Source organism: Homo sapiens, chromosome X (genome assembly GCF_000001405.40).
Source record: "Homo sapiens chromosome X, GRCh38.p14 Primary Assembly".
NCBI classification, from domain to species: Eukaryota; Metazoa; Chordata; class Mammalia; order Primates; family Hominidae; genus Homo; species Homo sapiens.
Genome location: NC_000023.11, coordinates 111,244,520 through 111,271,611, shown reverse-complemented (window position 1 = coordinate 111,271,611; position 27,092 = coordinate 111,244,520). Strand labels below are relative to the sequence as shown.

Sequence of the window (27,092 nt, the reverse complement as noted above, 5' to 3'; positions counted from 1 at the left end):
AGTTGTAGGGAAATGCCAAGAAGGAGATCTCAGAGACCAGAGTTATAGAAATGCTCAGAACTGTTTTATGAAAACATTGGTATGGGCCCAGTGAGTGGAGAGAGAACATGCTTCCTGTCCTTGTTGAGCTCTATGTTGCTCACTTGTTATCCCCAACCCCCCTTATCTCTTACATCTTCAACTAGCCAGCAGGAGGGTTGGTGCAGGAGGAGGGGTAGAAGGAAGTAATTTCAGGTTCAAGGGTTAACAGTACACTGGTCAGGAAAGCTGAGGAATGAGATGATGAGCATCTTTACAGTTTGTGAAAATGAAACAAACAAAACAACTTGAGAATCATGTTCCTGGAATTGTGTCCAAATGAATGTCTCAGGTTGAAGGGACCAGGACTTTGACTGTGATGCAGTATAGTATTTATAGGGATCTTGCTTGGCCTTTCAGAGCAAAAACAATTATTTTCTCTCCTCTCACCTAACACAGCTGTGCAGAATCTTCATAGCCTGGTTGCTAGAAATTAGGGTTCTTATAGCTGCTGTGGAATAAACTCCATTCACTTTCCTCTTAACAATCCCTTCTCTCTGTCTTTGACCAAATGTTACCTGTTGTTTCACGAAGTGACCTTTTCTTCATTGCACCCCATTAGCTGCTCTTTCACTCCCAGTCACTTCCTGAAGTCCTCATCACTATCACAGATCTGCCTACCAGGGCCATGTCTGACCAGGGCCATGTCTGCAGCCTAGCCCATATTAACTTTGCCAACACTTCACCATTTTTCTCTGCATGTCCTCTCTCTAGTAATGTGCATGTCTGTGATATTAACCCTGGGACAGAAAAGTAAGAAATCTATCAGAATCCTCGCTGAAAGTCTTATTTCTCCTTGAAACCGAAAGAGCTTTCAAACGTGGCTTCCTGAGTTTTTCAGTTTGCTGGTGGGTGGGTCTGGAGTGGGCATCCCGTCTGCACATCTGGTAGAGGCACTTTCCACATTTTCCTCATGACTCAGGATCAGTTTCTGACTGCTGGGCGGGGCAAAGCCTCCTGAAGTTGCTGCGAGGCACCTCCCCCTGTGAGCAGAGCTTGGTACAGCCCAAATAGTTTTCAGGTTAAGAAAGCCAGAATCTTTGTTCAGCCACACTGACTGAACAGACTTTTAGTGGGGTTACCTGGCTAACAGCAGCAGCGGCAACGGCAGCAGCAGCAGCAGCAGCAGCAGCAGCAGCAGCAGGGCTCCTGGGATAACTCAGGTGAGTAGAGAGGGAATTCGCAAACTTACCCTGGAGTTTTATTTCCTGGATAACTTAGCGTCTAAGAAAGATGAAGAAACTTCAACTTTGTAGTTAACCAAACTCCACAGCTATATTTTATGGCTTGTCTGGATCAAATATGTGCCCGTTAATAGCAGTTTGAGAACTTCAAAAATAATGGAATTTTTGGTTGGTTATTTTGAGGGGTGTGTGGGGTGATGATTGTGGTTGTCTGGCAATGAAACTTTTCTGGGGATATCTGGTCAGTTTTTTGTGTGTGTGCACACACGCGTGCATGTGTATGTGTTTGCCTTCTGCTACCCAAAATACCTGGTAAGTGAGGAAAAATCACAGGGGATGGTGTTGAGGGGGAGAAGCGTGGCTCCTTTCAGGGCCTCCTTCTAGCTTCTGCTGACCCACAGCTGTGGGAAAATTATTGAAATGCGAGCAAAATCTTGGAGCCACACTGTGTGCAAAAGGCCTGTGAACTCTGGTAGGAGGGTGAGCAGGCTGTGCAGTGTTGTACAGGAGGAAGTGGTGGCCAAGTCTATCTTAACTCCCTGTCTGCACAGCCAGTGGTCTTCCTGCCCTGGTGACAGGTTGATCTTGGCTATTCCATTTTCAGCCTCTGGCCTGGCTTTGTTCCCCTCTGATTCCAGCTTTGGTTTAAACTTTGATTTCAAGATGGGGCTCCATCCTCCACTCCCAGGCCAAGTACACTGTTCTAGGGTCTTCACTGGACCACTTGATCAGAACTGGCTTTGGGTGGGGGACGGGAAAAAGGAGCGGTGCATTGTAATGGAAACAATTGGTTCTGAGGATTTGGAACTGTAAGTTTGCTGAAAAGCACATAGGAAAACTCAGCAAATTCTGCTGTCCTAACAATTACTTCTGGCTTCAGGATAAAACATCCTGGTTTGTATTATTGGTGTATTGAAATTCAGCTAATGCCTCATTTGCTAATCTTTATTGTGAAAGTAAGAACACTTTACAGTCTGAAGTAATAAACAAAAAAATTATTTGTGGACTGCTAATTAACTCTTTTATTCCTCTGGAAGTTTGTGTGTGTGTGTGAGCATGCTTATGTGCACGTGTGTGCCTGGGTGTGTGTGAATACTTTGTATTCAAATAGCGTTCTTTATTTGTCCTTAGACTCCCTAGCAGTCTAGGGAAAAAGTCTAAACACTTACATGGTCAGGAATAGGTTAAAAAGCAGGCTTTCCATATCCTTGGGAGTTTTCAGTTCCTAAATTAAAAGCAGAAAAAGTCCCTTTGTGACCCCAAAACAGTGTTTCTTTGATTAGCCTTGATTTGAAATCATCTCACCTTCTGACAGCTTGCAATTCAAAAACAAAACTTCTAAGTGCATTCTTGTGAGAAGAGTACAATATGAATTTTTAAAAGCAACGTCTTGCTTGACATATTGTGTCTGCATGTTTGCCCTCCTCCCCACCTTACAACAAATTGTGGTTTAAAAAAAAACGTTGGGAGGTCCCAGTTTTAGTGTGGGCTCTGTCACTAACTACATAACCCTGGGCAAGTGCCTTTACCTTACAACAAAAGAAAGAAGTTGTACTAAGTGATTTCTAACAGACTTTCCAACATAACATTCTATAAAATCAGAATTTGATTCTTGAAAGGCTGGAAAAGTAGACATATAGGATGGGCTTATTCGGCCAAAAGGGCAAGTCAGCCAAAAAAGGAGGGGTGAAATAGGGAGGTGTAGAGAATGGTGGAGGGGCAATTTTTATATTAGTCTTTTAAATGTTGGTGCATGTCTTATTTAAAGCACATGATCAAATTTCATTAGTTTCCCCTAAAGACAGAAAAGAAATTTAACTTGTTAAAATAAGTGCTTCCTAATACTACTGCCCTGCTTTAGCCTTATCTTTAACAATAAAGAGTATGTTCACATACATAATTTCATTACATTCTCCCAATAACACTCTGAAGTAGACAGGGAAGCTAACATATTCCCATTGTGCTATGTGGAAACTGAGGGACTGAGATGTTATGTATACTAAATGGTGATATTTTGGATTTGTTTCTGGATCTTGTAACCACCTGTGTTCCTTTTATCATTTTGAATTGCTTTTTATTTTTTGATAGAGTTATTGAGCAACCGAATTAAAATTGTGTCCTCTTTTTTTTCCTTTGAATGGCTTTGAACAGACTCTTCTCTCTGGGCCAGTAGGTACATCCTATATAAGGCAGTGGGCTGGATCAGAGGATCTCTGTGGTCCTTTTTAGACCCAGAATATCTGGTTAGAAGTTTGAATCTGAACAGCCATACATAAGTCCTGTGGTTAAATGCGTGCCCATGTATGTAAGCTATGACTCTGCCTGTGTACCTATGAAAAGCACTATTCTCTGTATACCATGTGGATGCTGAATTTGTATTACTTTTTCCTATCCAAGTCCCTTTTCTCTCACCATACCACCCCCCAGGTGTGGGGATAAGGGATGTGGATTGTGGGTAAAAGTGGTGCCTACTTCATGCCAGGGCAGAATTGGGTCTTCTGTATTCAATTTGTCTGCAAACTTTTATTGATTTTATCTTGATTTTTGCTCCAAGTACAGAACAGGGATGAAACTGAGGAAAAGGAGAAACTAGGCAGGAACAATGCCTCAGCCATGCCCTCTCTCCCTCTCCCCATTAAGTTCCCTCATGTTCTCTCCCACTCACCTAAATCCAAAGTGGCTTGTGAACCACAGACAGGATGTATTTTATCAGATTTTTTTAGAGCAAAATATGCTTTTTGCTCTAAGGCTAACCCGCAGGTTAAGAAGCAAGAGATTTTGCTTTCACGACTTGCCTAGCTTCCTCAAGCTTTCCAGTCCAGTGAGTAGAAAAAAAATACCTCTCTCTTTAAACTGCAGCCTTGTATTCTACGTGGCAGTCTCCCTCAACTTCCCTGGCAATTCTCAACTTTCTGCACTCTGGGCCCGCTCCTATCCTTTGCCTTGGCAGACACGGTTGTCCTCATATTCTTTCTCAAAGTGGTGGATCTGAATTATAATAATATTGCCTAAGACCATTACCTCAATGCTAAGCCCCACCACACTCTGCCTCACCCAACCGCTCATTCCACTAGCCCTCAGGCCACAGGGTCCCTCTTCTCAAATGTCCACATTGCCTTTGTTAGCTAGAGGCTCTCCTTGGTTTATATTCAAATCCCTGGGTTTATACTCAAAGCCCTAACTTTTATCTTGTCTCCCGACTTTCCTAATATGTGATCTTTAACGTAAGGGCTCTCCCTTCCCCATCGCCATCGGGTGCAATAGAACAGAAAGGAGGGAGTGTTCCCTTCTCTGCACTCATCCGTTCCAACAGAGTAAGTTGTTTATGACAAACTCAACTTACAAATTTCTGGGTTTCCAAAAGTATTCTGATGTTTAAATGATGAACCCGCCGATGTAAAGAGTTCAGATTCTCCCATGAACATCAAACCATGAAAATAAAGAACCTTTTCAATGTCTACCATGGCAATAAATTCTAGGCAGAATGCCTCAAAGTTGAGTATCATGTTTGCTTTGGAGGATTTCCTCATTTGAACTAAAAAATCCTTTCTCTAAGAAGGCAGTGACCAAAAGAAGCAGTGTGGTGTGATGGAAAGCTGCACACTGAATCTGGCATTGCACAGAACCTGGATTTGAGTTAACTCTGCCATTTTCTAGCTACTGCTTCTCTGAGCTGCCATTTCTGCAGATACAAAATGAAGGGCACAGATAATCTCATTAAACATGACTGCTATGATGAGAACCCGAACTAAAATGTAAAATGCACATTTCAAACAAGAAATTGCCATGCAATCACTAATTCTCCACATAAGACATTTATCTGTTCAACAAACATTTTCTGAACAATATTTGTGTGCCCAGCTCAATGCTAGGCAATGAGAGGGCTTCAGTGTATATTTTGCATTTATGGATCACTTTCTACTTATTCAAAATTCCTCTTACACCAACCATCTCATTAGGTACACCCATGGTGTAAGAGGGGCAGGGTAGATAACCTCACTTTCCTGATGAAAAATTTGAGGCACAAAGAGAACAAGGTCACAGAGCAAATGGATCACAGTTCTGTTGCCCAGTCAGAAATGCGGGTCACTTTTTTTTTTTTTTTTTTTTTTTTTTGAGACGGAGTCTCGCTCTGTTGCCCAGGCTGGAGTGCAATGGCACGATCTCGGCTCACTGCAACCTCCACATGAAGGTCACTTCTACTCTCCAAGTCCGAGAGGACTTGGGACTACAGTTGTACTGTAGTGGAAGTTCAGGCTCATAGTCTGCTCTTCTTTATTTACTGTGTGTCCCCAGAACACAGGCACCCTGACCCAAAAGGTGTTCCGTCAAGCTGTAATCTATCCATGTGAGCTGTACATTCTGCCTCTGAAAGAGTCTATTGGGATCACATGGGCTTTAAAAATCAAACCTGATTTTCCTTTCAATTGGTGCTACTTCTGTCTGTACACAGGCCCTCTTTATAACAGGGATTCCTTTTGCAGGATCTTGCCTGCCTTGCCATTTGACCGAGTAGTAAGGAAGACCTTTGAAGGCAGAACAGGAAATACTCATTTATCCAGAATGTCCAGGGACTAGGAGGTTCTGGCAAACTAAATATTCTAATTGCCCCAGGCTTTTCCACATTTACAGTCCCCAGGCTCTGGCAATTCACCAAACCTTCTAGGGAAAGCAAGAGGCGCAGTAGTGTTTGTTGTAAGTTTGAGCACACAAGAAAATTGGGATCCATTTGTAACAGCCTCCAGAAAGGAGTCTGGGCAAACATTCAGGTTGGCTCTGATGCTGCATAACTAAAAATTTTTACTGATACCATCCATGCTTTCAAATACAATGAAGTACACTTTAATATTTAAAACACATGAGCAGACAAATCTGATGAAAAAAGGGACATCAGTATTTTGCAGTGTCCCCACAGCTCTCAATTTTAAAAGCAATTGCCAATAAATAAGGCTATGAAAAAAATGTGGTTATTCTCAGCTTCTTATTCCTTGGATTCAGAGAAAGGGTAAGTTTGTTGTACATACATTGCAAATAACATTGTAATAACATTGCAAACATTTAAATTAAAAATTGTTATGGTTTTCAAATGGGGAAACTTCTTTACCAGTGAGGCATTTCAATGTGATACTGAAAGGATATAAAATGAACTAGTAGAGAGGTCTGATCAATATTTCACTTTTTATAAAACAGCGACTGCCTCACAGATATACCACACAGATACTCCTTAAAGTGCTAACGTATTCTCCTTATTTTTTAGCAGACATTCTGTAGCTTAGTCAGGTTTTTTTTGTTTCAACCCTCCTGTGATTATAGAATATAGACTTTAGTTATTTCTAAAATACATTTTGAAATAGTTGACACCATGTAAATTTCACAATCTCATTCTTATTTACTGTTGAATGCCAGGAGAGGATCATTAAAATCATTACAAATCTTTGTGAATCAAGAAAAAGCACTGAAAACCCTATTATCACCCCAAAGCTATTGAAAATCAAATTTGCCTTTCAAATTATCTTCCTAAAAACCAGTTGTTAAGAGCACTTGAGTGTGGGGCACTCTGATAGACATTGCTTGAAGAGCCACTATATGAATTCTCTGTTTAGCCATGTAAGGTTTTTGTTTTTCCTCCTTTTTTTTTTTTTAAAGAAAAGAAAGCAAGAGTGTATTGCCATGGGATAACAATCTATAGCCCACCAAATTAGTGTAATTGAATTTCAGAGTCTGCCTTTTATCACAGGCAAAGGATTATACATTAGACTTTTAAGAAGAAAGACCATACAATCTTTCTGTCTTTCCTTGTCTTTGGAGGCCATCTGCTGAGCTGTTTCTTGCAGTAGTCTTCCTGGCCAATAATAAAAAATGCAAAGCTCTTTAAATGACAAGACGGAAGAAATTGTGTAAAAAGACTTGCTGGAATGGAAAGAGGCTGCTTTTCCCCTCATGCACAAAGTGTGCGACTCTCCAGGGCACCAAATTATTCTGACTACAGTAAAGTGATTTTTCCCTTATCTTCAAGTTGTTCTCTGCCTTGAACTACTCCCTGCTGGTGTAAATGGAAGACTTCTCTTTAAATTATAATGAATCACATTTAATTCACAATCTTTACTTTTATTATTGATTTTTCCCCAATAAGATTAAGGCCCATATTGCCCCATTTGACAGATAAAGAAACTGAGACCCAAAATGGTTAGGTGCCTTACCCAAGGCCCCATACTAATTAGTTGCGGAGTGTGGACACTTCTTTCTTTGAAAATGGTGACATTTCCTTTAAAGCCAAACTAGAAGTGCCTAGCTCTGGGAAGAAGTCACTGGGATGACGGCTGTTTGTCTAATCTCAGGTAACCCTTAAAAGACCTGAGAAATTCTTCCTTCAAAGACAAAAATTTTCCTCATTCTAGGCATAGTTCAACACTATGGGTCCTCCTCTGAAGCTCTTCAAAAACCAGAAATACCAGGAACTGAAGCAGGAATGCATCAAAGACAGCAGACTTTTCTGTGATCCAACATTTCTGCCTGAGAATGATTCTCTTTTCTACAACCGACTGCTTCCTGGAAAGGTGGTGTGGAAACGTCCCCAGGTAACTTTCTATTTTACACATTCTGTCTCCTTGACCTCCTTCATCATACTTCTACGTGATCCACTGTTTCACTTACAAAGCCTACTGTGTAGACCAATTTAGAAGTTAACCTTCCTTCCTTCCTTTCTTTTTTTTTCAGCTTTATTGAAATATAATTAACAAATAAAAATTGTGTATGTTATGGTGTTCAATGTGATGTTTTGATATACATATACATTGTGAAATAATTACCACAATCAGGTAAATTAACGTATTCATCACCTCACATAAAGAAAACTTTATAATGAAAGTTCCATGGATCTGTGCTCCTGGCTCTAGCTTGGAGTCCTGAATTTTAGTCAAATTTTGACAGATTTACTTAGAAAAAACAACAAAAAAATACACTGTACCTTTTTGAGATTAGCTATTTAACCTTAAGCAAATTAATCTAAGATCCATTCAAGGTGTTCTGTGTATCAATAGTTGTTTTGTTTTTACTGGTGAGTAGTAATTTATGATAAGGATATGCCAAAATTTGTTCATCTAGTCACCCACTAAAGGGCATTGGGGTTGGTTTTAGTATTTTTTACTGTTACACATAAAGATGCTATGAATATTTCTGTACAAAAAACAGAGAGATATGCCAACCTTATTTTCTCTTGGAAGTTCATTTGAGTAAATATGGTAACACAAAAAGCAACTATGCTCTTGCCTCTTTACTGAGTTACCTGTCATAACAATTTAAATGTAATTTCAGACCAGTGAGGAGAAAAACTCCTTATAAAGTGAGCATAAATGAGACAAATTTTAAAGGGAGAAGATGAATTTTTCATGGGGGCAAGAAGGCTTCTTTGCTGCTCTATGGACACTGTCATCTGTATCATCCCACAACTGGACAAGTGGGCTTCAAGTAGAATTGTAGGTCTTTCACCACCTATTAGTAGTAACTATTAATAGTTGTTGTGGTTCTCTGTGCATCATCTGTATGTTGTGTCTCTAAAGCAAGTTTCAGAACCCTTTCACTAGTCCTACATGAGCAGGAGCTCAGTGTATAAAACAATAGGATGATGGAGTCTGGAGAATAAATTGCAACCTTGCTATACCTAAAGGGTATAACTGGATAGAAGGATATTGTACCTAAACTCCTTCTCAATGTAGGTGATGAGGTATATAGGCCACAGAAGGATGTTGTGAAATGCAAGTTCTTGGAACTTCATAATATCCTGAAGACATTCAGGTCCTATTTAATGAGGTTCCTTTCTGTGTACTATTATGGAACCATCTCAGGCATCATCTCAATGTTTGCCTCCCTCAAGTAACCCTTTTACCAACTATCACTTTTAGTTGCAATTTCCACAGCTTAAATTCCTAAATGGAGTTCTGCCAAGAGCTACTTCTGTTTATGCACGTTGCTACCATGTGGTGTCAAGATACACTGGTTACATCAAGACTTGTTTACTATGCAACTCAAAGGATATCTCTTAGTTTTTGCCTATAAAGAATGACAACCATTGAAAGTATGAGACTGGGAGAAGTTCGCTCTGTCTGAAGGAAAATTACACTCCTCCTGCCTTTCTGTGTCTGCAGTTATTGACATTCCAGCGGATCACTTAGCTGACCTGCAAGAAAAATCTAGGAAATGAGCAGAATTCATTAACCAATACTTTGGTATGCAGACAGGCTTTTTTTTTTATTTGCAAAAATACATGGAGAAAAATAGAGATACGTTGTCTGGGAGCCACTCTTATGAATGGATGGTGATAAATAAGGGGCATCCCTCTTTTCTGATGCTTGGATATGAAGGAAAAGATGTCAATAGGGCAAAAGTAGCTAAAAAGGAAGCAGGAAATTAAGAGAGGTGTATTGGGTAGGTGTCTTTCTGAAATAGGACAGACTTGAACATATTTATAGGCTAAGAAGTAGATGGTAAAGAAGAAGAGGTTGAAGACACAGAAGAGAAAAGGGATGATTGATAGGGGTGAGGTGGAGGAGGTGGGAGGAGATCCGATGGGCAGCAAAATTGCAAGCCAACATGAAGCCATTCCCCAGAAGTGCACCAAGCAGACAGTGTTTCCTGTACTGGCTGTCTTTAGACATATCCTTCCCCCTCTATCTTGGCTCAGTCCATTGTCCTTTGCCTTCATCCTCCAAATTCTGTGGATTGAATCCTAGATGGATTAGCAGGGAAGGAAAAAGTCTTAACAACCACGGCATTTTGCCTCTAAGGCAAACAATAGCCCTTCTAAAGTGAGAGAAAATCAGAGAGAGAGGCTGAACAGTGGGGATGGGTAGGAAAAAGAATCAACAGTCATGACATGCGTACTATGGGCCAGATACTGTGTTTGAAGTTTTCTATACATTATTTTACTTCACCCTTATTTACCATGGCTTAGCAAAGTAGGCATGTTAAAAGTTACTTTGATGCAATTCTGATTTCCTAGTTTAAAAAATAGCAGTAGATACATGCCCATTATATATCTTTATATAAAAAGAAACTGTGTCTTTAAGAGAAGGTAAGTATTTGCTCAGGGTCAGACTGCTAACAAGCTCGGATTTGCATCCACGTTTGACTGCAAAGCCTGCATAAGTTTTCACTCTATCATGCTGTCATATCAGGGAGATAGATAGAGTTAGTTGTTTGTGTCCCCTGTTTTCACCAAAATAGGTAGCTTCCCTCCAGTCAGTTCTCATATTCCTCTTCACTGTGTTGATGCCACACTTCCATTAATTGTTCCACACTCTCCCGTTTGAGAGCATGGTGTTTGCTTAATCTTATTAAGCCCAAAGGGAGGGTCACTAGAGAAATATTTACTGAACACTTACTCTATGCCAGCCTTGGTGCAAGACACAGACATGGCCTGTGGTGAGGCACTCCCATTCTAGTTGGGGAGATGGATATTGAGCTATCAAATAGTTAAAAAAGAAATGAATGTTGGATGTATGAAATGCTATTTTCAGTCATATGGACAGTAAATCATGTAGAATTTTTGAAGAAGGGGAGGTTACCATAGATTGGAATGGTTGGAGAAGGGGCCTCTTGTGGGGAGCAGGAGAAAAAAACAAGGTTCTGGACCACCATCTGAGCCTCCTCCAAAAGCTGTGGATTCCTTCCCAGCCAGAGTGGAGGCCAAGCCTGTGGTCAAGAACCACGTCAAAGTTCTCTGGCCTCCCATCAGGAAAGCTGAGAGACAGAGCTGGGCCTCTCTGAATTGGCTCAGGAAGGCCAGATGAGCCGTTGGCCTCCCCCACCTCATTGGCAAGGTTGAGATCCTGGTTTGCAGCGAAACTTACAGACATCTTGTCCCTTGGCATGCCATGTAGCTGCACACTTAACTGGGGCTATTTTCTGAAGTCTCCAAAATGGAAGCAACACGATTAACCTGATATTTTCTGTCTTTTTCCTTTCTCGTGTTGAAGGCTTTTGCCTTCGTAAGCCTCCATGCCTGCAAACACCACTGATAGTTTAACAAACTGACTCCAGTCAAGCTCCGCCCCTCGCCGCCTTGGCGCCCCCCCGGCCCCCCGCCGCCCCATTCTTGGGCAGGATTGAGTTCCCCTCCTCCCACTTGCCACTTCTTTGCTGTGTTTTAAGGAGCCTCTTCAGATGACAGGAATTATGAATGTCTTGCAATTGTTCAATGCCAGATCATCTGCCCATACCCTCCAGAGGAAAGTTCTTCTTAATTTCTCCAGCCGTCTATTGGCCTCAGCTGTTGTCCTAGCTTTCTGAATACACAGGTATATTACCTGAGACCATGTGCTCCTGGACTTTTCTATTCTCCTGGAGCTCAACATATATAGTCTTCATAAATTATAAGGTCTAACTTATACTGAGTTACAGTGTGATCATAAGACTGCCGGTAGGATTTTTAGGCTGAAATCTGCCTGCCAAATTCCCACAGAAAATCTCTTCTCCAGCTCCCTCCAGCCACTCTCCCCTCCTACCCACCTCTGGCGTTTTTCCTTACTGACTCATATCTACCTACAATAGTGTCTTAAAATCAGACACATCTAATCCCTGACTAAAAAGGAGTAAAGCCTCATGGGAATTTGCACTGTCAGCTGTGAGGAAAAAAGGGCACCTGCACAAGATCTGTCAGCTCTCCTGTCAAGTTTTAAGTTCAGCCTTCGCTACCATTGCCATTGCCTAGTCTTCCCCTCTAGAATACATTCCCCTGGGGCCATTTTACTACATTGTCTGGTTGAGAGTGGGAGGGTGATGAGGCTCTGGATTAAAATTATGGTAGTAGGAATGGAAGGGAAAGGCAGATAAGGGAAGACATTAGAAGCAGAATATACAGGCTTGGGTGACAGCATATGAGGGAACCGTAAGGAAAGAAACACTTTTCTCTCTGTGCTAATAGAAATTTCCAACCACCAGCTGAATGCAACACCTAGGTATAGTAGTTTTGGCCTAGTCTGCTCAAGAATTTCCTTTTCTTCCCAGAGACTATATCACCCCATGTGAGTAGTCCTAAGTGTTTTCCACTGTTTACACAATTGAAGAGAGTTGAATAGGCCCATAGTCTTTTCTCCAACTGTCCTATTTATTTTAAATTATGCATTAACAAACTTTAACAGCTTTATCGAAGTGCAATTTATATATTGTGAAACTCACCTGTTTTAAGTATACAAAGCAATGATTTTTAGTAAATTTAAAGTTGTGCAAACATTACCACAACCCAGTTGTAGAAGAGCTGCATCACTTCAATAAGATCCCTTGTGCACATTTGAAGGGAGTAATCCCTCCACCCTACCCCCACCCCTGCTGCAGCCAACCACTAATGTACTTTTGGTTTCTATCCAGAACTGCCTATTCTGTACATTTCACTTAAAATGGAATCATAAAAGTAACTGGCTTCTTTTTCTTAGCATAATGTTCTCAAGAGTCATCCATGTTGTAGCATGTATCAATTTATTCCATCTTATTGCTGAACAGTATTCCGTTGCATAGATATATAAATTCTTCCCAAAAAAGCAGTTCGGGATCTGTGCCTTGAGTCTCCTAGCAGAATCCTGAAGGTTAAAGTGAGAAAATGATTACACAGTGATTTGGTGGCCCAGTTTGGAAGTGGAGGTTGGGCCTAAGATCCTATTCTATTCTCCATATTGAGCTTTCCTTGGATGGGTTAGGAAGGAAGAGACTATTTTATTGATAATAAAATCTTCATGCAGAATTGAAACTCCCCAGTAGGAAAAGTGGACTTCTTGAGAGGCTGGTGCAACATTAGTCCCTGAGCCTAAGTCCACCTATAAATGCTCCATCTGGGGGATGGTTCAATTTTCTAAGTAAGATAACGACTACTTGGACTAGCTCACAAAACCCTCAGTTCCTGAATAGCAGTTCTGTGCAAATTAGCCCCTGAGCTTTCTGGGACTATTTAGACCCTGGACTTATTCATAATATACCTACTGCAGGCCTGACCTCACTTGTAGGTGTCCACACCCCTACCCCCTCACTACTGCTAGATTGCACGTAGCACTTTTGAAAGTGTTTCCACTATTCTGGCTGCTGGTTTTCTGGGCAGCTTTTCATTTTACTGAGGTTCCTGCGGTTTACCCTGGACCTCCATGTTTATTGTCAGTAAATTTCACCTGTGTAAAAAAAATGCTGAATTTGGATGTGGTAGGTGCAAAGGGAGTCACATAGAGTGCCTTGTGCAGGGCTACAGGACTTGTAACTGTATGCCCCCTCCCGCTCAGAGGTCTCTGGGAAGGAGGATGAAGTAAGGACAATGAGAAGTCCCTTAAGACTAAGCTAAGAGAACACACTTCCTAGAGAAGCTGCTTTGCTTAATGGAAGGTTTTGGCTCAGAAGTGGGGTCATGCGGGGACCATTTCAGCTTTACTCTTGGTACTCAACTTCCTAGTTGTGTGTTTCTTCCTAAGAAATCATTTTGCCGTGACAAAATGATCACTTCAACTGTGCCAGCACAGCTGGGAGCCATTAGGGGCTCAGCATCCCTCCTTGCTCCTAAGCCACCCAAATGTTGTGAATATGTGTGCTGTGACCTCTCCTCCAACCCCATTCCTACCACTCCAGCACAGCTCAAGCTGAAATGTCCCATCTGCACTCTGCATCTCAGCTTTGAGTTACAGAAAAATTTCTCGTCTTACATCCTTAACCCCAACAGGAAGATATCCAGTGTGTCCAAAATTAGGGGAGAAGTCAACAAACAGTCATTTTGTTGTTTTCAAATTTGTCACCAAATAGTCTGTTTGGCTGCTAGGTTTGCATTGGCTTATTACCCTTTACCCTTTCTAAATCCTTGGCTACTTTCTAGTCTTTTAATGCCTCACTTCCTTAAAGAGGCAGAAGATAGGGCTTAATAAAGGATTTATTTCCCGTATTTCATATCACGATGCTTACATATAGTAAGAGATTGATTCATATTTATTGAATTTAATTGAGCAGACTAACGCCTATTAGTGATATTCATCCTGGAACCAAAAGCTAAGAGGTAAGTAAATTTCCCAAAAGAGTGAAGAGTGTTTAGGTAGGTTTTAAGCAGAGGCATAAAACACTGGGATGAATGACTGAAAGAGGTAGTAGCATCTCTGTCCCTGAGGAGTTGCACAATATCATCCTTTATGTGGTGGCCATTGTTGAGCCTAAAGGCACAGGGATGGATGACTGAGGTCTTCAGCTTCTTTCTCTAGCCATATGTGGTTCTGAAAAATAAAAAACTTTAGGCCTAGGTCTCCTGCTGACTAGCTAGATGATCAGAGTAGCAAGTTATTGCCCCTCTCTGAGCTTGCTTCCTCATGTGAAAAATAGGCTTTACTAGATAGTCTCCAAAATTCATTCCAGTTTTGACATTCTATGACTGTTAACTTGTCATGTTTTAAATCTATTGTTAAATAGCCATCACGTATGAAAAGGGGTAAAGTATAACTGGAGAATGGGCCAGTTTATAAGAGGAAATGGAATGTTGTGGGGGGGGGGGTCCCAAATTTACATTCTCTCATGAATTTCACACAGCTTTTAATATATATATTATATGTACATACATGTATATACATAGACACATATAATATATAATAATCATATCCATCTTGGGTCAAGAAGAGAATAATTACCCCATTCCTCAATTTGAATTGTTTATATGTCTTTTTGCTCACTTATGTGACCCTTTATGTCTTCAATAGAAGTTGACATGCCAAAAGTGTTGGCTAAGCCTAGATACCTACTGTGAAATGAAAATTTTATGGAAATTCAAGACACCATAATGTATCTCCAACCACTAATAACTCTACATAAAATTAGCAAATAATTTGCCTTATTAATCTAAAAGCACACTTTTTCATATATCAGTGTTCACTTTATTGTTTTTCCATGTTAGGAAACTATGATATGTATTATCTAGGTCAAATAAATCATTATTTTTTTTTTGGAACGAAGTTTCTCTCTTGTTGCCCAGGCTGGAGCGCAATGGTGTGATCTCGGCTCACTGCAACCTCTGCCTCCCGGGTTCAAGCGATTCTCCTGCCTCAGCCTCCTGAGTAGCTGAGATTACAGGCGCCTGCCACCACGCCTGGCTAATTTTTGTATATTTAGAAGAGATGGGGTTTCACCATGTTGACCAGGCTGGTCTTGAACTTCTGACCTCAGGTGATCCACCTGCCTCGGCCTCCCAAAGTGCTGGGATTACAGGCGAGAGCCACCACACCTGGCCAGAAATTATTTTATACTTTGACATCTTGCTCAAAATAAAATGAAAACACCTGACCTGGGGAGGAAAAACTGTGCTTAGTTTCATTTTAGAAAAGGCCAAAAAAATGAGAAGAAAAAGAACATCAGGGTTTGACTTACCCAACATACCTGCTCTATGTTCAACAAGTGAAAACAAAGGCAGTTTGCAGCCCATAAAAAATATTTTTTAAGATAGAAAATTCTCCTAAAACAAAAAGTAGTTGTGAACTACCAGGCATGCATCTAAAAAAAAAGACCTGAGAATCCAAAGCTGACAACCTATCTAGCCATCTCCTTTTGGCAGAGGGATGCCCAGTTAATCTCCAGCTTGGACTTGTCTTTGCCCAGAATGCCTGCCTATTTCTTTCCAGAGTTATTTTGGCTTTTAAAGAATATATGGAATGTTTCATTCTGTAGACCAGACCCTTCGTCAAGGAGAATTATGGCCATTAAAAAAAGAGGTTTGAGGACCAGAAAAATATAGCTGTCTCTAATACTTTTTAAAAGGATATATGTCTAGATTCCATTTGAGACAAGGATTTATTTCTGCTGCGTAAGCAGAATGTCAAGGTACCGGCCAATGGCCTCCTCGTGAAGCTTTCTCCATCTAGTCAAGAATGCATTGGTATTTCCTGCCTTTGAACTCTTCAAATGCTGATACTCTGAGTCACCCAATTATGTCTTCAACTATGTAGTGTCATGTATGCCACAATGCCTTTGCCCATGCCTTTCTCTCTACCTGTTATGCCACCGTACCCCTCTCTTGTCCAACTGCCTAATTCTAGTCAACTCCAGTGTTAACAACACTATGAATCCTATTCTGACTGTGATCAGGAGAATTATGGGGATTCTTCCTTTAGACATGAATTATGCTTTGAAAATGACTCTACTGTGCCCTATCGCTTTGTGTTATAATTGTATCATTTAGGTATCATTTTCCTACTCCCAGTGGGAAAGGCACAGTTAATATGTTGGGGGGAAGATACACACATACATTCCAAACAAATACTGCCCCCACTCTGCCCAGATCCCCTCAGGACCTTCACTGGGAAGAGTGTCGGTTGAAGTGTTCCTGTGAGTGGTTTATTACCACTTGCTATTAATGCTGCTGTCATCTATATTCATCCACAAATGTAGAAAAATCTGGTTGCTATGGAGACCACTGTTGCTTTTGCTTTATGTTAGAAAAGGGCTTCCTATAAGGTCTCCTAACTGGTTTTCCTAGAGAAGGAGATGAATTAATGTTAACCTTCATTAGACCTTGTCTCTTTAATACAATCTCCCTTCCAAGCACAGGTGCTTCAGAAAATCTCATCCTGGCAAAATAGGATCAGAATGTAATGTACTAATTCCTAGTTATTATTTTTTTGGAAAGTTCACTGCTGTGGTGAAAACTCTCCCAAACCCCAATGATAGCTATGTCTAAGAGCCCTCACCACCGCATGGCACCCAATCTCATGACACCCTCTCCTTTCATTTCTCCTGCCACTTCCAAACATGGGGCTAGATGATCAACTGTTTTTTGGTTTTCCTTATAATCCCCTCAGCCTTCCCTTCATCCCATCTATGGAAATCCTACTTATTTTTCAACCCTAACCTTATCTCCTCTATGAAGGCTGTCCTGCCTAGTTCAGCTCACAGTGACTCTTGAGAAACTCTTCCCAGACTCTCATATAACCAATTATTGTATTCATAGGACATCTGTGATGACCCCCATCTGATTGTGGGCAACATTAGCAACCACCAGCTGACCCAAGGGAGACTGGGGCACAAGCCAATGGTTTCTGCATTTTCCTGTTTGGCTGTTCAGGAGTCTCATTGGACAAAGGTATTATCCCTCCTGTGGGACCTCATTCAGTTTCCACTTTCTTGTCTTCTTTAATAACTTTAGGAAAAAAATCAGCGCATAACTTCCTTAGATTGTTGTATTTCTTGAAAGCAGAGATATTAACTAGGCGACTTCCCTCCATTTCATTATAAGAAGTTTTGCAAACACAGAAAAGTTGAAATAATTTTATAGTGAACACTCATATACCCACCTAGATTCTACCATTAACATTTTACTCTACTTGCTTTGTCATATATGCTCACTGATCTTTGGTTATCATTTGCCGTGCATTGACTCAGTATCTCTGCATATTATGTTATCTGTACCTATTGGGGTATAAAGTCAGTAGAAGCCAGGAAGTCAATAATACATATTAATAACAAAAAAGGTGAGAAATACAGAAGTAGGACTTGAAAAGTTCTAATAAATTATTAATAGTACAAAAATTCCTTTAGCATTCAGGTAGAGGTCAAGGCAATGAAGTGTTAACTTGACTTGGGACAAAGTTAAAACATTTTCCTCAAAAAATAATTTTAGAATATTAATGTGTAGCTGTTATACAAAAAAAATTCCTAAACATGATTTTATTCAAAATGCAAATGAAATCCATATTTAATATAATTGATATAAAATCTCTAGAATGGATATTTAAAAAGCAAACTACAATGGGCCTTGATTTTGATTGGTTTTGCTCTTTAGAATGCCTTGCATTTTAAACATGCAATCATGAATATGTTTATATAGTCCGCTTCTCAACATCTAGTTTATAGATTATTTGTGGAAAGCATTTAACCACTAACTGGTTGTCCCAGCCACACTGTGTACTCCTGTGTGCATTTAGACAGGCATGGTGATATCATCCTCAGCAAAACTGAACTGAGGAAGCAGAAGTTGTGGGCAAAATGCCATATCTAGGAATTTCCAATCCAGACTCAAACCAGGTGTATGTGGCATGCTTCCTGTTGCCCTGTAGATTTGCCAGGAGTAAACTGTAATCTCAGTTTCTGGATGTGGTCTGGTGAATAACACTTGATTAAATGTTCTTGCATTTCTAGACAATTCCCAACCATAAGGAACAGGAATGGGACCCTCAAAAAACAGAAAAATACGCTGGGATATTTCACTTTCGTTTCTGGCATTTTGGAGAATGGACTGAAGTGGTGATTGATGACTTGTTGCCCACCATTAACGGAGATCTGGTCTTCTCTTTCTCCACTTCCATGAATGAGTTTTGGAATGCTCTGCTGGAAAAAGCTTATGCAAAGTAAGGAGGTGATTGACTAGTCTGCTATCAGGGTACATGAGGAAAGGAAAGCCACATTTATCTTTGGGAGCTCATTCTCTCCCAGCCCAACCCTGGAGTTTAAGTTGGGTAAGATGTCAGTCAGAACCAAGGCATTGCTTTGCACTTGGGCCTGGCTCTCAGAAATCTTAGATGAGAGAGAAATCAGAGGTTCTTGTTTCCATTTAAACTCTTACCTGCTCCCAGGTACCCTTTCCTCCTGCTATCTGCAGATCACATGGCACTATCACTTCATTTTTTCTTTATCTCATATCTCCCCGTAGAAAGAAGTTTCTGCATAGACTGTCCTTGATCAACATAGCCTAAGCCTAGAAATTTCTGAATATAATTTCAAAACATCTCTCATTTCATACCTAGAGAAAAGCCATCTGGTAAAGTCTAGGCAGGGGATGTTCTGATTCTTTAGATTATGATGTTCTTGACCTGGAAAAACAATTTTACAAAGATAACCTTGCATACTTGCCCTCAGGCTGCTAGGCTGTTATGAGGCCCTGGATGGTTTGACCATCACTGATATTATTGTGGACTTCACGGGCACATTGGCTGAAACTGTTGACATGCAGAAAGGAAGATACACTGAGCTTGTTGAGGAGAAGTACAAGCTATTCGGAGAACTGTACAAAACATTTACCAAAGGTGGTCTGATCTGCTGTTCCATTGAGGTTTGTACTCATGAAAAACAACCACTGTATACTCATTCCTGGCAGAAGAGACTACAAAGTTTGGTAGGGAAATTCGCCCTTAACCCGAAGACCCATGAAAAACTATTAATGGGACTTGGAAAGCTAAAATACACATTTTGCCCTGGTGTGGAAGCTGAGGTGCTTTAGTTTTTTATCCTTTTGTACCAGTCATTCCACATGGAACCAATGCAGCATCCAGGCTTGTGTCAGTAGCCTCTGCTAAATTATTCCTCTTGTCTCTGCTTCTAGATCTTGAGGTTATGGCTGCTTGCTCAATAAATGAATCTGCCCCATCAAATTTTATGGCAGTTCATATTAATGTCCTACAGTGGATAGTTTGAATCTGACTTGTTTGAGTTGTTATATTACATTCTTTATTTATTTTCCTCTACTGTTTTTGTTTCAAGTTGGGTGTCAGGATGAAATTTCCATCTGTGTGAGAACTAGCTTCAATCCTACTGGGTTAAGCCAATTAATGAAGAAGAGGAGTCAGGATTGGGTCTCCCAATTCCTGTGCCTTTATATATCTTTCTTTGCTCTCAGTCTCCCAATCAGGAGGAGCAAGAAGTTGAAACTGATTGGGGTCTGCTGAAGGGCCATACCTATACCATGACTGATATTCGCAAAATTCGTCTTGGAGAGAGACTTGTGGAAGTCTTCAGTGCTGAGAAGGTGTATATGGTTCGCCTGAGAAACCCCTTGGGAAGACAGGAATGGAGTGGCCCCTGGAGTGAAATGTGAGTTGCATTCCACTTTCACAGCTACATCTCCAAAGCCCTGTAGTTCTCCCAGACCCATCCCTCCAGACTGCTAGTGTGCTGTCAATGCTCAGTGACATCTGTGGGCTTTTGTCAGGCACGGGGTCTGTGACCCAGCCGCAGATGAAATAAAGCAGGACTGATCCTCATGCACTCTGTTTCTCTGGCATCCTACTTACTACAAGAAGTCAATGGCAAACATAATGATTTATCTTTTTTTTTTTTTTCTATTTACTTTCAGTTCTGAAGAGTGGCAGCAACTGACTGCATCAGATCGCAAGAACCTGGGGCTTGTTATGTCTGATGATGGAGAGTTTTGGTGAGGAGGGGTTTCTGCACTAAGGGAATTGGGGCTTCTACATGGAACTACAGTGTTAAGTATTAAATACCATCTTTATTTTTTTCCTGTGCTCCTTCCATTCAGGATGAGCTTGGAGGACTTTTGCCGCAACTTTCACAAACTGAATGTCTGCCGCAATGTGAACAACCCTATTTTTGGCCGAAAGGAGCTGGAATCGGTGTTGGGATGCTGGACTGTGGATGATGATCCCCTGATGAACCGCTCAGGAGGCTGCTATAACAACCGTGATACCTTCCTGCAGAATCCCCAGGTTTGAGTCAATTACTTTATTTGCCTCAAAGTTATCCAGTCAATAGGAACTCAGATCTTGCTTTGGTCATCTCTGGAGTATTTCTTTAGCATCAAATCTTCCTTTTGCAGCTATTGTGTAATATTCAACAACCAGGATCCCTACGGATTGTCTCAGGTGCTTGTAAAACACAGCAGACTATGTCTTTTTGCAGAGACAGACTTTGGCAGCAGTATCAAATCTGAATCACCTCCTCTGGCTGCCTCTCTTCTGGCCATATTGTCTGGTATGGCTCTTTGACAATCCCTGCTTCCTTGTGATGGTCCCATATTGGAGAGAGAAGATCTGCTTTGAGATGCTCCCTCAATTCTTCCTCATTTCTCTTTACTGCCCAGCTGTTCTCTGGGGTGCACATTTACTATATTCTTCCTCTTTCTAATGCAGATGACTCTTTTGAACCCCATTATTATGCCTCCATTTTATCATCTAGATCCAGGTCATTTTTCCCAGGATTTGAATCATTGCCCTGTCAACGACTCTGTCCCATCCATCTCCCATTACAGTGCTATTCCAGGTGACATAACAGGGTCAAGTCCACGCACACTCCAGAGTAAAAAATCCAAACATCTAAAGGCTGAATCTATAATAACCTGGATGGTTTCATCTCAAAATGTGCTGATGAGCTAACTCATAGAAAACAAGAATTCTGACTATATTGCTGCCTCACTGCCCATGGGTGCGTCTTTTCTTTTCATGGATCTCATTGGTCAGGCATTTAGGAGAATATGGAGACTAGTGGGCTGATTCACCTAACTCATACTGCTCTTCCACCCTTCCCATCTTAATTGTTCCTAAAGAAATATCCTATCTCCCCCCACACACACCACCTCACCTCCATTTACAACTCTGGAAATGTTTCAAGTATTAGGCACATATACTAAGCTGGGAAAATGGCTTCACTCTATATGTATGTACAGGATTGAACTTAGGGGCCTTAGTTCAGAGTCTGTTTTTAAGTCCTCCCTCCCTCCCTCCCTCCCTCCCTTCTTTTCTTCCTACCTTCCTTCCTTCCCTCCCTCCTTCCTTCCTTCCTTCCTTCCTTCCTTCTTTCCTTCATTTTAGAGATGGGGTCTCACTTTGTTGCCCAGGCTGGAGTGCAGTGGCATGATCACAGTTCACTGCACCCTTGAATTCCTGGGCTCAAGGGATCCTTCTGCCTTAGCCTCCTGAGTAGCTGTTTTATGTTTCCTTCTAAAGGGAGAGAGGAATGGAGACAGAGACAGAGAGAAAAATCTGATGCCTTTTAGTTTTATCTCCTAATAGCACCGTGATTCCCCAGATGATGTTTGGAAAGTCTCTGACACAGGCTTGTAGCTTCCTTAAAGTGGAAGTAGCAAAACATCAATTCTCCAAGGAGCCCTTCCACAAGCTGTATGTCTGGCTGGCAAAAGGAGGCTAGCCCAGGGTGATGCTGTAGTGTCAGGTTGAGTCAAATAAATACCTTTCTGTCTTTATGGATTCCAAACTTTTTCTATATATGGCATTTAAATACAAAGGGATAATAATAACAATAATAATAATAATAATACAATAATTTACCAAGAACTTATTAGAACAAAGCATATCCTCTTTGGCATCAAAGGCTAAGAATAAGGTTGTCCTTCAACACATGCTGAATGACATAGAAAGAAACAAGTGTTAATGGTCTACGCTTAGCAAGTCAGTGAATTATCCAAGACCTTGTTGTCTGATAAATATGAAAGCCCAGAAAATAACTCAAGGCTCTGCTTCCCAATGACAAGCTTTATTCCCTGAAATTTAAGCTCGTTCATATGAAATGGGAATGCTAACTCACCTCTGTGGTGGTCTCTTTCCCTTAGTACATCTTCACTGTGCCTGAGGATGGGCACAAGGTCATTATGTCACTGCAGCAGAAGGACCTGCGCACTTACCGCCGAATGGGAAGACCTGACAATTACATCATTGGCTTTGAGCTCTTCAAGGTAAAAATGGGCATTTGGGGCAGAGAGAATGAAGGCAAACAGAGTAAAAATTAGGATAATTTAATGGTAGGGGAAGAATGGAAGGCCTAGGGATAAAAAAGACAGAGCATACAAAAACCATGATTTGAGTGGAATTGAATATTTTACCCTATTTCATTTCCAGGTGGAGATGAACCGCAAATTCCGCCTCCACCACCTCTACATCCAGGAGCGTGCTGGGACTTCCACCTATATTGACACCCGCACAGTGTTTCTGAGCAAGTACCTGAAGAAGGGCAACTATGTGCTTGTCCCAACCATGTTCCAGCATGGTCGCACCAGCGAGTTTCTCCTGAGAATCTTCTCTGAAGTGCCTGTCCAGCTCAGGTTCAGTTTCCTTCGCAAGCCCTCAAACCCCTGTTCTTTGCTTTACTTCCAATCCTAAACCCCTTCACCCGTCTCCCCTCTTCAGACATTCAATGGGACAACTTGTTTAAATCAGACTTGATTCACTGAAATCATGGTGGTAAAAATATTTCTCAAAGGGTGGTTGGGGGAAATTCCCCAGTGAAGGTCTGAACTTCAGAGCTCTGAGCTACCCTTAAAGAGGAACAGGCCTATAGTCTAAGTTCTTCCACATCAAATTTGTCTTCTGTTTTCTGGCTGATGGCCTCTTTTCTTAAGTAGGTAGCACTCCTCCCTGCTCTTCTATTATGTTCTGTGTGCTGGATCACCAAAGCCACCTTTTTGTCCCAGCCCTGCCTACTTTGATCTTTATCTCCTGGCCCTTAAAGAAAGGAGAAAGGAAAGCATGCTTAAAATATATATAAGACATATCTGAGGAGGAATGGGCTAAGTCACACAATGTCTCATGCTTTTCAGCAATGATGTCTGCTTTGGCGGGCTTATTTCATCAAAGGATATTTATCATATGATGACAATATTTTATTTTTGATGTTCTAGGGAACTGACTCTGGACATGCCCAAAATGTCCTGCTGGAACCTGGCTCGTGGCTACCCGAAAGTAGTTACTCAGATCACTGTTCACAGTGCTGAGGACCTGGAGAAGAAGTATGCCAATGAAAGTAAGAATGGCAGGAATGTCTGGGAAAGCAAAATTCAGTTGCATTTATAGCACATAAGTTAGAAAACATGATCACAAATGATTTTCTCCAGCGATATTTTGTCTAGAGAAGTTGGGAATGGATGGCAACCATGGCAGAGGATGGGATGTCAACTTCAAGCAAGGCCTACATTAGATTCATTTTCATATTCCTATATAAAATATGGAAAAGGAAAGGGAAGTGGGAATAAAAGTGTTGAATCTCAGTCATTCTGGTGCTCGAGTGCTATGCTGAAAGTCCCAGAATTGGCTTAGCGAGATACCTTCTTGTCTATCTAGAAAAGGAACTTTAATTGCTGTGTTAAAAACATATGTCACTTTGTTCCAGCTGTAAACCCATATTTGGTCATCAAATGTGGAAAGGAGGAAGTCCGTTCTCCTGTCCAGAAGAATACAGTTCATGCCATTTTTGACACCCAGGCCATTTTCTACAGAAGGACCACTGACATTCCTATTATAGTACAGGTAAGAGTGTGTACAGGGGTCGCCAGAAAGGCTCATACTTTGTACCAGATACTAGATGATCCCAAGTACCTTATATATGTTTAGGATGCAGAGCAAGAATTATCGTATTTTTTGGTTTGTTTTATACTCAAAAACTCTTCTCATCAAGCATGGACACTGACTTCCTTATTACCATCCATCCTAAATCTCCTCTCTTCCATTTATTTAATTGTGGGCAAAAGCCCACATGCTCACCAGTACACATGTTAACACACGTATCATAAAATCCCATGGAGGAAAGCTTATGCCAGTTCAGAGGACCCTCACATGGCTAGGTCAGGATGAATCACTGCAGTTTGGCAGTTTTTCTGACTTAATACTCCTGACCAGCAGCCTTTAGGTAACCATCCCACAGGTCAAGAACGACCCGGAGATTCTGTTTTCTGGCTTTTCATGTATATTCTTTGAGGTATCCTCCCCTCAACTGATGGGCTATCAGGAAAGGACAGAATAGTCTCTTGGTTTTAAAACAAATCTTTTGAAGCTCAGCATTAGATCTGGATGTCACTGGGCAAAGGCTAATCTCACTGAGGGCTGCTCATCTTCACTCCCTTCGTTTGTCTTTCCAGGTCTGGAACAGCCGAAAATTCTGTGATCAGTTCTTGGGGCAGGTTACTCTGGATGCTGACCCCAGCGACTGCCGTGATCTGAAGTCTCTGTACCTGCGTAAGAAGGGTGGTCCAACTGCCAAAGTCAAGCAAGGCCACATCAGCTTCAAGGTTATTTCCAGCGATGATCTCACTGAGCTCTAAATCTGCAATCCCAGAGAATCCTGACAAAGCGTGCCACCCTTTTATTTTCCGTCAGGTGCCAGGTCTTAGTTAAGATTCACAATCTTTAGAAAGAATGAGATTCACAATAATTAACTCTTCCTCTCTTCTGATAAATTCCCCATACCTCCCAATCCAAGTAGCATCTGTAGCTACATAACCTATATACCTCCAGCAGCTGGACATGGGGAGGCGACAGTCCTATCTAGACATCATACACATTTGCCAAGAAAGGATCTCTGGGGCTTCCGGGGGTGAGATTCAAGTAGGACAATAACAAGAGGCTGGACACCCTACAGATGTCTTTGATGTTTTCAGTTGTTTGATATATCTCCCCTGTAGGGCATGTTGAGGAAGGAGGAGGGCTGATCAAGGCCAAGCTGGTCTAGCCTGACATCCTAGCTCCTGACTGAACACTATAGACTTCCCAGCAGCATTTCACCCAGCAGCCAGAGCCGGCTTTAAGTCCCCAACCCTTACAGACACCACTGCCACCACCACCAACCACGACCACCACCACCACCACCACTCACCACCATCATCACCTCCGGAAAGTGTAGTCCTGCCCTAACCCAAGTCACCCCCGACAGTAAATTTTACCTTCATGTTGAGAAAGCTTCCTGGTGCTTAATCAAGAGCTGGAGTTCAATGAGTCCTAGACAGTGAGAGGGGCCTGAGCTTCAGCTCAATGGAAGCCTGCTGTGTGCCACAAGACGGAAAAGTGGAAGAAGCTGCAGTGGGAGACAAAGCCTCGGTCCCCCACCCATCCACACACACCTACACTCACACACGCGCACATGGGCGCGCACGAACTACCATTCAGGCAGTCAGTGGGCAAGAGGAAAGATAAGTAAGTACCATACACACCTAAAAGATGAGAGAATTCATCCAGACATATTACAGCCAGTTTGGGGCCCCTGACTGCAATGTGAAACCTCTCGCTGCTGCTAGGTTTACAAACAAGCCCATTGTCCTGTGCCTCCTAATATCATTTGTACTGAAGACCCCATCTGGGGACTTGAGACTTTGGTCCCAGCCCAGACTCCTCAGACTTTTCTCTCAGTTGGGATGCTTCACTCGCTGGGGGTGTTTGTTTGCCCTCTCATTTTTCAGTACTTCTACAGAATTTTCTCTAGAGTCAGTCATTATGAAATGTACTTCCCTCCATCTTAACCTATCAACTTTCTGCCCCTCCTTCAAGGCCCAGTATAAATGCCACCTCCTCCATGAAGCCTTCCCTAATTCCACCCCAAACCCCCACCTTCAACAATATTTCAACGCTTCTGCAATGATGAAAAAGAAACATAGTTGTAGTACTTAGCCTACCTAGACCAGCAAGCATTCATTTTTAGCTCGCTCATTTTTTACCATGTTTTCCAGTCTGTTTAACTTCTGCAGTGCCTTCACTACACTGCCTTACATAAACCAAATCACAATAAAGTTCATATTCAGTACATTGATCAGTCTTGACTTGAATTGATGGCATGGGATGGATGGCAAGAGTGACCATCTGTTAAGACTTGTTTCAAAGCCACTGGAGGTGGGGGTTGAGGTACTTCATGAAATCTGAGCTCAGGTAAAAGTGTGATGGATTCAAAAGCCCTGGCTACACTCTGATGGTACAGTTCTTTGCATTCTGGGGTAGTTGGAAGAATGAAGAGGGGCCTTTATTTCATATTTAGGGACAGCTAGGTGCTATTCGGGGTTACTTGAGTTTGAAACTCCTATTTGGGATTGGACTCGAGGCCATAGGTACAGTAGCCAAATCTTTCAAGGGAAGATCTCTCAACAAGACAAAATACCAACTCCCCTTTCCCAGCATCTTCCTTAGAGCCGAAGGGATGTGTGAAGACTTCACTCATTTGCTTATACAACCTGCCATCTACCATCTTAGGGTAGGCAAAGGGGAAAATTCTTATTTTTCTTTCTGACATGAAAAAGTGCCTAACCAGGGGAGGGATCTCCAAAGGAGTAGCTCAGGAGAACAGTTCTCAAGTACAGCCCTCACTGTCTGTCCCTATAACACTAACCCAGAACAC

At 41.6% G+C, this 27,092-nt stretch overlaps 1 protein-coding gene across 1 annotated transcript, besides 2 other annotated features; it reads left to right on the top strand.

The window, feature by feature from the left end:
* CAPN6 (calpain 6) lies at window positions 1,129-26,513 on the top strand. The gene is made up of 13 exons (NM_014289.4): window positions 1,129-1,241; window positions 7,661-7,840; window positions 17,209-17,340; window positions 18,396-18,604; window positions 19,113-19,305; window positions 19,870-20,063; window positions 20,326-20,403; window positions 20,509-20,695; window positions 22,555-22,677; window positions 22,841-23,043; window positions 23,620-23,741; window positions 24,108-24,244; window positions 24,853-26,513. Exons 2-13 carry the CDS (start codon window positions 7,676-7,678, stop codon window positions 25,033-25,035), a joined length of 1,926 nt encoding a protein of 641 aa, NP_055104.2. The 5' UTR covers window positions 1,129-1,241; window positions 7,661-7,675; the 3' UTR covers window positions 25,036-26,513.
* Window positions 15,870-16,403: an enhancer, noted in NCBI's record as "OCT4-NANOG hESC enhancer chrX:110498437-110498970 (GRCh37/hg19 assembly coordinates)". NCBI's record gives its function as "activates a minimal SCP1, AML or CMV promoter by ChIP-STARR-seq in primed H9 embryonic stem cells {active_cell/tissue: H9 hESC(primed)}" and the evidence as "EXISTENCE:reporter gene assay evidence [ECO:0000049][PMID:30033119]".
* Window positions 24,173-25,372: an enhancer, noted in NCBI's record as "CDK7 strongly-dependent group 2 enhancer chrX:110489468-110490667 (GRCh37/hg19 assembly coordinates)". NCBI's record gives its function as "activates an origin of replication core promoter dependent on BRD2, BRD4, P300/CBP, MED14 and CDK7 cofactors, with strong dependence on CDK7, by STARR-seq in HCT116 cells {active_cell/tissue: HCT116}" and the evidence as "EXISTENCE:reporter gene assay evidence [ECO:0000049][PMID:35650434]".